This window comes from Homo sapiens, chromosome 2 (genome assembly GCF_000001405.40).
Source record: "Homo sapiens chromosome 2, GRCh38.p14 Primary Assembly".
Lineage (NCBI taxonomy): Eukaryota > Metazoa > Chordata > Mammalia > Primates > Hominidae > Homo > Homo sapiens.
The window spans coordinates 189461284-189474342 of NC_000002.12; the positions used below are offsets into that span (position 1 = coordinate 189461284).

A 13059-nucleotide genomic window follows, 5' to 3' on the forward strand; every position below is an offset into this window, starting at 1 on the left:
GGTAGTCTTTTGCAGGCTTTTGTTAGTTTTCAAACCATTAGATTTAATTGGCCACATTTGACTGGTGGCTACCGTGTTGACAATACAGCTGTTGCTATATTTGAGGAGAATTGATGTTTTTATAGTATTGAGTATTTTAATTTGTAATCATAATAAATACTTTTCCACTTTTTAGGTCTTTATATCCATGAGTTAGGATTTTTTTTCTGTGGTTCTCATATATATTTTTCACTAGACATTTGATGGTCTTTTGATAGTATGTTTTACTCTATATTCTAATTGACTTGCTAGTATTTAAAAATAAAATTGATTGTTATATATTTCTCTTATAATCAGCTAAATTTACTTATTCCATAAGTTTATCTATAAACTATTTTGGCTATGCCTTGGTGTAGTCATGCTGTCTGTGAACATGGAAGTGATTATTTCCTTCTTTCCAATCCTTAAGCCTTTCTGGTTTCATTTCAGTGCACTAGACATCCAGTTAACGTTGAATCAAAATGGTAATAATATTCTTAATCACAAAGGGAAAGTTTTCAATAGTTTAACTTTTAGTGTGGTGTTTGCTATAGATGTTATCCAGGTACTCTTGATGAGATTCAAAGGGTCCCATCCATTCCTGAGTTTCTGAGAGGTATTATCATGAATACGTATAGAATTCTGTCATTTGCTTTTTCTGCATCTATTCAAATAATCATGGTGTTTTCCTTTTGTTCTGTAAGTGGGGTTACATTAATTTATTTTTCAGCTGTTAAGGTAATCTCATTCTTGCAGTAAACTGCGATGACATGATACCCTTTAATATATCATTGGTATAGTATTTTGCTTAAGAATTTTCATCTGTCGTGAAATCGGCTTTTTTTTATATATATATAATATTTTTGGTATAGTATTTAAATGTTTAGAAAAATTTATCAGTGAAGCTATCTTGGCCTAAAGGATATTTGTTTGTCCAGCTTTTCTAGTTGTCAACAGAGGAGTTGGTCAGCAACAAACTAATCAGATATCACTGGAAAAAAAATTCCTGAACCAGTGATCATTTGTCTTCAGAGTATATTAAAAGATACGAAGACACTTTTTGTAGCTTTAAATGAGTTTATTTCTCTAGTACGGTAGCAAAAACAAAAGTGTTAATTATATTTTTCTTTCTCTTTTTTCCTCAAAACACCATCCTTTTAATTTCCTTGAATGGATATGAAGGCACCAGTCTGCTGAGTGGCGGTCGTGAATCTGTACTTGTAGAGTGGCGCGATGCAACAGAGAAGAATAAGGAGTTTCTCCCGCGTTTAGGAGCTACTATTGAACATATCTCAGTCTCGCCTGCAGGAGATTTATTCTGCACTTCTCACTCTGATAATAGTAAGTCTAAATTTTTTATTATGAGGAAATATATAAACACCATAAATTAGCTAGCATCTGTAGGGAACAGAGAATAAAGAGACCTAAAACTAAGAGTAGCGTATGAGATTTAATGAGCCTTCTTTTCCTTGCATTACTCCTCTCTTTTCCACCCCTCTCTACCCCTAGGCACCACCAGAATTCAACATTTTTGAGAATTATTTTTATAAAATGGAAGGCTAAGTGTATTTGGTTATTGATGTGCCACTTACATTTTCAAAGTCTTTTAGTGTGGGATGACATGAGGAAATAAAGGGAAGGTTTGGAAGTGGACATTGGTGCTTTCATAAACCTTCCGTTTTCAAAAGAATACTGCAAGATTCTCTTTTGATACAGCTGTTACCTGGGGGCAAGAGTCCTGTAGATTTGATAGAAATAGAGGCAGTCTTATATTTCTCCAAAACTTTGTTCATCCAGTGACTACTCAGCCTAGACTAGGATATCTTTGTAAATCCACTTCCTTTTCTTTCAAAAAAGAACATAACTGTGAGCAGTCCATTTAGTGGCATGAAAAAGTTAAACTATTTTTATTAGATATACTCTATAGATTTTGCATTAACACTTAAAATGTGTTCATAGGCACAACTGATAAAAACTTAAAGACTCCAACAGAAAAGCCCCTATCCCCACCCCTAGATTTTCCACTAACTCACAAAATGTATTCCTGATTTTCTAGTAGTACTCTGAGTTCATTGAACTTACTGGGTTGTTTTGTATTCTGGTATATTTCAGAATATAAACTCAGGTGACTCCTTCACCTTGAAGCTCTAACCCAGGGGTGTCCAATCTTTTGGCTTCCCTGAGCCACATTGGAAAAAGAATTGTCTTGGGCCAGACATAAAATATACTAACACTAATGATAGCTGATGAGCTAAAAATAATAATAATAATAATGTTTTCAGAAAGTTTATGAATTTGTGTTAGGCTGCATAAAAAGCCACCCTGAGCCACAGGTTGGACAAGCTTTCTCTAACCTATTGATATTTAAATACCTATTTTTTTCTACCCACAGAGATAATAATTATTCACCGAAACCTTGAAGCATCCGCAGTAATTCAAGGCCTAGTGAAAGGTATTGCAGAACTCAGTGGATTTGGAATCATGAACATTTTAAAGAGTGCATATTTCTCTTATTTCACCTGTTATTTGTCACCACTTCTGCAGATAGGAGTATCTTCACTGGTTTGATGATTGATCCAAGAACTAAAGCTTTGGTTTTGAATGGAAAACCTGGCCACCTGCAGTTTTATTCTCTCCAGAGTGATAAACAGTTATACAATGTAAGATTTTGATCATTAGCCTTGAAATTAATGAAAGCTCTTTACAGTACCACTGGAGTCAAGCAATTTGTTTAGTAGCTTTTAAAACAAGATCCTGTGCATATGTTTACTTGAACATAGTATTATCCGTGGTTACTTAGTTCAGTTGTTCAGAGCATAATTCCATTGAGGCCACAGTTGCAGGTTACATGTAAGCCAGTTGGCACTCCTGTACGTGCTGTCTCTGTCTTTTGTTTCAGAATGCCCTCCTATTAGCTATCCCATACATCTGTGCTTTTGAGTCACAAGGATAAAGAAACAAAAATAGGTAGATTGACAGTACAAATTTGTATCTGCTTCGTGGTGAAACACTATCATATTCACATATTGAAGATAAAATTTTCAGTGTAGATTAAAGAGGAACACTTCTTCCAATCCTGATAAGTCCAATCCAGATGTCCCACTTTTCTTGTTCCCCACAGTACTCTTTACAGATCTCTGTCATAGCAACTGTGACACTAGCTCTTTCTCACCGTGGCCTTTAGACCCCTCAAAAAAAAGGAAGCATATTAATCATTTTATGCTTATCTCAAGTATAATGCCTGTAAATTGTAGGCATTTAGTACACTTAATAGTAGGCATTTTATTTACTTAGTATAGGCAAGGAAATGGGATTTTTTTTAAAACAACCATAAATAAATGCTGGCCTACTTACATTGGCTATCTTTTTTCATTTCTTAAAGATTGTAGGTTTATTTCTGTTCTGCTTGTTTCTGTTGACAGAGAATCTAGCCTTGAGATGATGTAAAGCTGTTTGTTCTTAGAAACAAAAGAAAAGCACTACTATAAATTAACGGTTCTGTTGTATCATATAGTGGGTGTTAGTAATCGCTAATATTCAAGGTCATTGAAGAATAATTACCACCAAATTGATACTATTATAATGTGTTCCCTTTTTTAATGGCAATTTTGGTGTCCATAGTAACAATTAGTTCATTTTTGCCTTTATTTAAAAATCTATTACTATACAGTACAGAAGTTGTCTTGGATGTAGTTAATTATCATTTCTTGAATGCTGTAACATTTGTGTATTTATGTTAATAAACATTTTGGTTTTTTGGTTTTTTTTACTCATCAGTTAGATATTATACAGCAAGAATATATTAATGATTATGGTCTGATCCAAATTGAACTAACAAAGGCTGCATTTGGCTGCTTTGGTAACTGGCTTGCAACAGTGGAACAGCGGCAAGAAAAGGAAACTGAGCTTGAATTGCAAATGAAACTGTGGATGTATAATAAGAAAACACAAGGGTAATACTATCTGTGTAGCCACTTAATTTCAAAGTATAAAATATTTCACTTCCCATTTTACAGTTTCAATTGTCTTTAAGATGTTTCATCTTGACAAGGTTTAGATTTAGAGATATGGGAGAGGTTTTATTCTAATAAAACCTTTAAGCTTTCTGCTCTGAGAAGACATTGATGTCCTCTAAGTCATAATGTCATCTCATAATGAATAAAGAAACATGGAAAAGTGACACCTCCTCAAGGGCATAATACCGAATTCTAGGCAAATCCAGGGTTAGAATCCAAATGTTCCCTTGCTCTTCCGTTAACAGCATACTGCCTTTTGAAAAGAGGGAGTGTAGGTAGAAGTGTAGCATAGTATAATGTAGCATGGATGTTGTGATTAGATAAGGAATCCACTCTCGTACTGTGGCTATAATAACCACTTAACAGATCTTTGCTGTGTGCCAAGAACTTGGCTTAGAGCTTTGTACCCATTATCTTACTCTTCAAAAGAACACTGTAAGATAAGCCTGTTGTCTATATTTTATAGGTGAAGAAACAGGCCCAGAGAGATTAAGTGGTTGTCCCTAGTCACTGTTGTTATAACTTGTGCTTTTTTAAAATCACAATCCTATGCTGCCTTGATGTTCTTTTAAGAACACAGTCCTAGTTGTCTTTCATTCACAGCGTTGCCCTCTAAGCTCGAAATAAGCTTTAAGAAGTCATTTAGGTGACTAAAAATAGTAAATAATGACCAGCCAGTTTGACTAAGTAGTTTCCTGTCTATTTTTCCTTGCCCCAGGTGGGGCGTTTCACGGCCTTTCCATTTTTTATTTTCAAAAGTAGGCAGGAATCTGGGTTCTATACAAGTTTCCTACAGAGTTTGATACAGTAGGCTTTTGAGTATCATTGATTGGTGACCTGTATTATCCTCATTTTGTACCAATGTACTAGTGGGTTGACTACTACACAGAATGTTCTCTAAAGTCACACAAGGGCAAAGGTGATATATTAGAACTCTTTGCGTCCTGTGGCCATTAGAGGTAGAGCACTCAATTGTTTGTCATTCTACGTGATTATCAGTTGCCTGTTGTTCAAGATGCTATTGTAAAATGTACAGCATGTCAGAAATTCTTATATACATCACTTTGTCCTCATGCAAGAATAAATTTGTGGTTTCCTTCCCGCTAGGTTTATTCTTAACACTAAAATTAACATGCCACACGAAGACTGCATTACAGCTCTCTGTTTCTGTAATGCAGAAAAATCTGAACAGCCCACCTTGGTTACAGCTAGCAAAGATGGTTACTTCAAAGTATGGATATTAACAGATGACTCTGACATATACAGTAAGTTATTAAATATGTTATGTTTAAAGTGTGCACAATTTTAGGAATTAATTTCTTTTTCTCATGACTTGTATCCATCCTGGGAGGACATTTTCTACTTTATTGAATTCTACAGGATATTGCTTAATCTTAATAGATTTAAGAGATTACATTTTACATGCCTTTTTCCTCAAATCTGTTCTTTTTAAATGGCATTCTTGATTAATCATGTGCTGATTATTCTGTTTTTTTAGGGTAAAGTAAAAGGGGCTTTTACCAAGAGTCCTTTCACTCCTCCACTAGAGGGAGGTCAAGGTCTCCAGGAGAGGGCATAAATTTCAGAACAGTCAGTATTTTGTAGCAGTTCTGACTTAAAGAAGTTGTGGGGAACAGGTTTTCTTGTTTTGTGTCTTTGTTTCTTTTTTATTTTATTTGTTATTTGTGTGTGCATCTTTGTTTCTTAATCCCTACTGCTTATAATGTCCCTCATTTAGCAGTCTCCCTTTAACAGTGGGGGATACAATCCAAGACCCCCCCGCCCCAGTTGATGCCTGAAACTGCAGATAGTACCGAACCCTGTATATACTGTTTTTTTCCTATACATACATACCTGAGATAAAGTTTAATTTATAAATTAGGCACAGTAAGAGGTTAATAACTAATAATAGAATGATTACAATAATATACTGTAATAAAAAGTGAATATGTGCATGCTCTGTGTCTGCCTTTCTCTCTCTTTCAAAATATCTTTTTGTACTGTACACAGCTATTTTCAGACCTCAGTTGACCCCTAGGAACTGAAACCACAGAAAGTGAACCCTCAGATAATGGGAAACTAGGGGGAACTACTGTAGCATTCTCTAGCATTTACACAATTTCTGAACATTATGGCTTATATTTCCACAGAAAAAGCTGTTGGCTGGACCTGTGACTTTGTTGGTAGTTATCACAAGTATCAAGCAACTAACTGTTGTTTCTCCGAAGATGGTTCTTTACTAGCAGTTAGTTTTGAGGAAATAGTCACAATATGGGATTCTGTAACATGGGAACTTAAATGTACATTTTGCCAACGAGCTGGGAAAATAAGGTAGGTAAATCTTCGGGAAGTATGTAGTACTATTTTTTAACTTATTTAAACAAGTCTTAAAACTTTAGTAGTCATTTATGCCCTCTCCAAAAGTAGCCTGAAGGTCAGTGGGGCAAGCAGCTAATCAAAATGCTGGAAAGCCAAAAATTCTGAGTCCACAAACTGTGCCAACATTTCTGAAATTCAGGTTAACATTTAACTCTTGGCCTACATATTTTTTCTTTGGAATACTTTCATGGATGTGCTGAATGGTAACAGAAGCTATACATAAGCCTCAGGGGATCCAAACCTTCTTATTTTCTGTGTATTCCCATAAAAACCGTGTTATGCGCCAACCTCATTGTTTCCGAGAGGTGCAGGGGAAAGTAGCAGCAGCATTTTCAGGTCCTGCTTCAGGTAGTTGGGCCTGAGGACAGAATCAGATGCCTAATGAGATCGTCTCTAATTCCCAGCATGTCTGATTCTGAATTTACTTTGTAAAACTTTCTTCACAATTGAAATCGCAAGTTTTCTTCTTCTTGGTAAATAGGATTTTTGTCAGATGACTGTACGTTTCATGTACATTTTCTCTGTTAGATGTAAATTGGTATACCGCACAGTGTGTTAAAGAATTGGTCATCCGTTCTGTTTTCCTAAAGAAATAGCTAACTAGACCCTTCCTTTTGTACTCCTTAGACACTTTTTTCTTCAGGATAATTATAAACAAAAATATATATGTCTATATAAAAATCTGCATTACATAGAACAGCCGCTGGAAGCCTGCAGTTCTTTGTAACTGAATTTGCTAGAACTGACTGTTGCTAACTTCCTTGTGGTTTTAATCTAGGCACCTTTGCTTTGGGAGATTGACGTGTTCAAAGTATCTACTTGGTGCTACTGAAAATGGCATTCTTTGCTGTTGGAATCTGCTGAGCTGTGCATGTAAGATATTTTTTACTCTAAAGTGATCTGGCAAAGCGCATAAGGAGTTGACATTAAACTTTGGCATTTTAGGACTTAGGGATCATATCATCAGGTCTGTACTTGGAATAGTCAGTTTTTTACGTGACATATGATGCCACCAAAATTTGGAATACTGGGCCTGTAATAGACATTATTTATTAACTGCTTAATTGTTGGTACGTCAGCTTCCATTATCCTTACCTTTTTCTACTGTTTTCAGTGTGTGTGACTTTCTGATGCCCTCCATATTCCCCATCCTCGTAACAATTTGAATAATGTTTTCTGCTCATTTTTAATACTTACTAATCTACATTATCCCTGACAGCTTAAATTCAAATGTAGTCTATCACAGTCCTAACAAATGTGAACTTAGTGGCATTTTACCCATTTGAGTGTATGTTTGGAAGGCATAGTAGCTGCTTATAAATGAATGTGTATGGTAACTTTTTTCAGTATTCTTTACAGTTAACTCTGGTTAACATACTGTACACATTTAGCAGCATCAGAAAAGCACTAGACATAAATTTCAATGAAATAATAATCTTTTCATAGTTTGTACAAGGAGCACTACAGTTCCAGTATGTTTTTCTTTCGGCCTCTCACTTTAGTGCAGCATTCTACAAATCATTTCAGTGTGTCTCCATGTGTGTTAGTTGGAAGCATAAGATTCCTCTTCCTAAGAATAAGAGAAGTTTTTTAAAGCTTTTGGTAAATCTTTCCTTAGAAGTGAATCACCTTTGTTTTTCCCCTCAGTGGAGTGGAATGCAAAATTAAATGTTAGAGTTATGGAACCCGATCCTAATTCAGAGAATATTGCTGCAATCTCTCAGTCTTCAGTGGGTTCAGACTGTAAGTACAAACCACACTTTGTAGTAAGAGAACATCTATGACCTAAGTTTTCTTCTTAATATAATTTGAGCCAAACTTGCCTTCACATCAGATGTTAATTGGAAGCCATTTTGCTTGAGGCACGGCCCTTCTTTGCCCCAACACTTTGTCATTGTGTGCGTCCATACTTAGTTCTAGGAGAGCTCCAATATGTTTCTTATTTTTCCACAAGCCAATTCGTACTCAATCTTTAAAATTCAAGAGATTTCACCAGTTTGACATATTTCCAACTGCCCCTGAGAAGCTTTAATTGGTCATCCTCTATGTTCTTGAAGCAGTTTCTACATATCTCATTTCTAGTACTTACAGACAAAATACTACTGTAATAATATTTTGGTTTCTGTCTTCTGCAGTGGGCCCTGGCCTCTGGAGCACGAATTCTTCTTTCTGTTTTTCATCCTCATAGCCCTCATTCCTAACCTGCCTGGCCCATAGTAGGAACACAGTAGATACCTCTTGAATCAAAGCCTAAAACAGTCATGACTTGGGCCAGTTACTCAATGGGGTGAGTCCCAGGATTAGTGTGATCTGCCAGTCTGAGGCTAGAACTAACCTTTTCAGGCAAAATGTTATTGTTTCTTTGTTTTTTCCCTCTAGTGTTTGTATTTAAACCTAGTGAGCCAAGGCCATTGTATATTCAAAAGGGTATCTCCAGAGAGAAAGTCCAGTGGGGAGTGTTTGTTCCACGAGATGTCCCTGAATCCTTCACCTCAGAAGCTTACCAGTGGCTAAATAGATCCCAGTTTTACTTCCTAACAAAATCACAGGTAACTGCCTCCCTCAAAAAAGGCGATCACTTTGTACATGGAATTTTAGACTAATAGCCCATGACTATTGGTGTGAGTTTGTTTCTAGGTGAAACAGCTTCATTAAAGGATTATTTCCCAAAAAATTGTCTAATATGCTCAGTACAGCAGCATTATTAATGTAAATGTATTACCGTTTTACCCCACACTTTTGAGGTTCCTTAGGTATTGCTTGTATTAACTCTGTGACAGCAAAAAAGCAGAAGACAACTAAAATACTTTAAATTGCATGATTCTTTTTTCTTTTTCTTTTTTTTTTCAGTGTTTGATTTGCAATTTTTAAAATGGTGGCTTGAGTTTTGTCTGTCAGTTATATTTTTTATTCATTACCATTTCTTAAGTATCTCTCAGACATAATCTTGTAACTCTCATCGTGGTTATTAAATAGGTTTAAATCTTTTATTCCTTTTCTGTTGTCAAATATATATATCAAAGTGAAAAATTTGACCTTCTCATTTTTTAACACCCTGTAACACCTTGTTTAGATTTGCACTCTACAGTTTGTCTTTTGCATCATTAATTCTCTCTTTTCAGAGTTTATTGACATTCAGTACAAAGTCTCCAGAAGAAAAACTCACACCAACAAGCAAACAGGTATGTTTTAGCCATTCATAGCAGGATGTATTGCCTCCCTAAAAGGATACAATTACCTTTTAGAAGTCAACTATGAAAAAAATATTTCACTTGGCCCTAAAATAGAATTAAAAGCCATATACTTATAAACTGATATGTGTCTCTTGAAAGTTTTAGTGCTCTTTTAAAATTATTTTAATTTATAATATCAGTAATATATAATTCTGATTTAAAGAGTCAAATATTTTTACAAGGCTCTTCAGAAAAAACTTCTCCAACACCACTACCATTACCCACAAAGACAATCACTCTCAAATCTTTTAGCTGAAGTTTTTATTTAACTCTGAATCTCTAAGAAATCTCTAAGAAATGTTTATATTTCTAATTATAGGTTTTTCAGATTTAGGTATTATCTGTTAACTCTGATCTATTGACGCTGAATTTTTAGCTGTTTTTCACATCAGCACTCCCTGCATATACACAACACACACTTTCCCTACTTGTCCCCCAATTTTCCCCATATGGGTAAATGTTAAATTGGTTAGTTCAGTAGTCATTGTCATAGCTGTGTTAACACAATTCATAGCCAAGCCATGTAGTAATAGGCAGATTGTTTTTCCTTTTGTGACCAAGTTTTTATTTTCTGTGGAGTTAATGATTGCCTTGTTTTTTCATTTGCTTAGTTTTCTATTCTCATGTAATTCAACCCCAAATTCTGCTCAAGTTGTGTAAGTATTCTCTCAGTGTTTTCAGATACATTAGGTATTCTTTCAAGTCATAAAGGATTATTTCCAAGAGCCTTCTGACTGTCTTCAGTCTGGACTGATTGCTCTGGAAACCTGCTACACAGTAGTCATCCTAGGATCTATATTCACCATCATTCTGGGGATTTGTTTGACCTCTACTCTATTAGTGGTGTGGTTTTTCTCTTTCTTTGGTCACTCCCCTGTTTTGGTGAAGCATTCTTTTAGTGCATTGGAGGTCAATTTAAGACCTTGCATGTTTGGAAATGTTTTTATTCTCTTTCACTTGATTATTATAGAGTTGTAGGTTGAAAATCATTCTCGCAGAACTTTGACATTATTGTCCTATTATTTTATAATTTCCATTATTACTAGAAGACCAATACCATTCTTGTTCTTGTTCCTTTGTCTGTAACTTGGCTTGTTTATTTTCCTTTAAAACTCATTGGATTAATTCAATAATTTTTTGTTAATTATTTACTGTACGCCAGGGACCATTGTAGACAGTTGGGATACAGTAGTGAGAAAAGTAGTCAAGTCTCTAAACTTGCGGTATTCACAGTCCACCAGAAGATAGAGACAGTAAACAACATGCATTAAGTAAAATATGGAGTAGAGAAGGTGGTAAGAATTGTGGTGGGGTAGAGAATAGACGAAAAGATGGCATGCATGGGATGCAGCTTGTAATTTTAAACAGGGAAGTCTACGTAGGCCTTATTGAAAAGATTCTGACTTTTTCTCTGAGTTACATATAGGGCCCCTTGGAGAGTTTTGAGTAGAGAACTAAGGAGGAGCTAATTACTTCTTTCTCTATTCTTTTTCTAGAACTCCTATTATTTAGTGCTGGACTTTCTAGAATGGTTCTCTATTATTCTTATTGTTTTGCCTATTTTTTGTTTGTTTTCTGGAAGATTTCCTCATCTTTATCATCAAATCTTTTTTTCTTTTTCATGGTCTGTTTCCATTACATTTTTTTTTGTTTTTGGTTTGTCTTGGTTGCTGCCTTTCATCTAGAGGTTTTCATCAGAGTCTGATGATTCTTGGCTGTCTTTGGATTTAAAAGTGGGTTAAAAAGCCACTTGGAAGTTCTCTGCCTGTGCAGAACTTATCCCTTGGCTTCCACTATCTGAGCTAATTTATTGAGACAGTCTCAAATGTCATTACAATTGACCCTTGAACAATGTAGAGATTGAAAACCTATGTATAACTTTTGACTTCCCAAAACTTAACCTGAAGCCTTACTGATAACAGTTATTTGTATTATATGTATTATATACTGTATTCTTACAATAAAGTATGCTAGAGGAAAAAAAAAAGTTAAGAAATATCATAAGGAGGCCGGGCACGGTGGTTCTTGCCTGTAATCCCACATTTTGGAAGGCCAAGGCAGGTAGATCACTTGAGGTCAGGAGTTCGAGACCAGCCTGGCCAACATGGCAAAACCCCATCTCTACTAAAAATACAAAAATTAGCCAAGCATGGTGGTGCATGCCTGTAATCCCACCTACTCGGGGGCTGAGGCAGGAGAATCACTGGAACCTGGGAGATGGCGGTTGCAGTGAGCCTAGGTCACACCACTGCACTCCAGCCTGGGTGACAGAACAAGACTCCATCTCAAAAAAAAAAATTATAAGAAAGAGAAAAATATATTTATTCATTAAGTGGAAATAGATCATCACAAAGGTCTTCATCCTCATCTTCACATAGAGTAGGCTAAGGAAGAGAAGGAGTTGATCTTGCCATCTCAGGTCTGGCAGAAATAGAAGAAACTCCACATAGACGTGTTATTCGAACCCTTGTTATTCCAAGGTTAGCTGTATCTTTAGGTCTTACTTAGGCTGGTCAAATTAACCATAAAAAATTCTATGCGTTCCTGCCTAAAGGATTTAGACCTACCTGTCAGTGTTCTGAGAACCCCCTACATGAAGTACAACTGCCTAGATATGAAGATACCACCACCACCACCACCGCTATCCATACCTAGCCTAAAGATGTAGAGCCCTCTGCTGGGGCTGAGGAGGAGCTGTGGGGTGCTTTCTAAGTAGACTTTCCACCAGCCCGTCTGGTTTGTCTAGTCCCATTTTCACCCCACATCCAGAGTTACTATTATTACCAACTCCTGAGCATTTGCAGGATTCTGTAGTATGAATTGGGATGCTTCTTGGCTTTCCCTACAGCCAGCTTAGAATTGTGCTTTCTCAGGTCTACTAAGTTCAATACCATCCTTCAGCCTGCTCTCCAGTTTCCAACATGTTACTGTTAAGGCCTTTTCCCTCATTTTCTATCATTGTGAGTATGTGCCCTTTGAAAACCCTTTTGCTGTCATTTTTGTGGGATTTGGTGAAGAAGCAGTGGTAAATGCATGTATTATTCTGTCATCTAAGTGTTCACTGTTAGCTCTTCTCATAAGTGGGATGCTAGGCCTCAGTTGCTTTCTCTGTGAAATGAGAGGATCATACTAACTGGATAATTTGTAAAATTCCTTTCATCCCAGACTTTTTATGATTCTGTAGTACTTACTGTTAAGTCAAACACAGTTCTTCCTTTTTTCTGAAATAATTTCTCTTTGTCTTAAATCCTTAAAGCTGCTAGCAGAAGAAAGTCTTCCCACAACCCCATTTTATTTCATATTGGGAAAACACAGGCAACAGCAGGATGAAAAACTAAACGAAACTTTAGAGAATGAGCTGGTACAACTACCCTTAACAGAAAACATACCCGCAATTAGTGAGGTAAGTAATT

The 13059-nt window shown here is 36.0% G+C and overlaps 1 protein-coding gene across 2 annotated transcripts in view; it reads left to right on the forward strand.

Moving 5' to 3' along the window:
• Positions 1-13059, forward strand: part of WDR75 (WD repeat domain 75) — a 34079-nt gene that overhangs the window by 19810 nt on the left and 1210 nt on the right. For both annotated transcript variants that reach the window (NM_001303096.2, NM_032168.3), the window contains 11 exons: positions 1201-1359; positions 2411-2470; positions 2563-2678; positions 3796-3971; positions 5142-5299; positions 6185-6365; positions 7192-7286; positions 8061-8156; positions 8793-8962; positions 9536-9595; positions 12903-13049. In NM_001303096.2, coding sequence (NP_001290025.1) covers positions 1201-1359; positions 2411-2470; positions 2563-2678; positions 3796-3971; positions 5142-5299; positions 6185-6365; positions 7192-7286; positions 8061-8156; positions 8793-8962; positions 9536-9595; positions 12903-13049 — 1418 coding nt within the window. The remainder of the gene's footprint in view (positions 1-1200; positions 1360-2410; positions 2471-2562; positions 2679-3795; positions 3972-5141; positions 5300-6184; positions 6366-7191; positions 7287-8060; positions 8157-8792; positions 8963-9535; positions 9596-12902; positions 13050-13059) is intronic.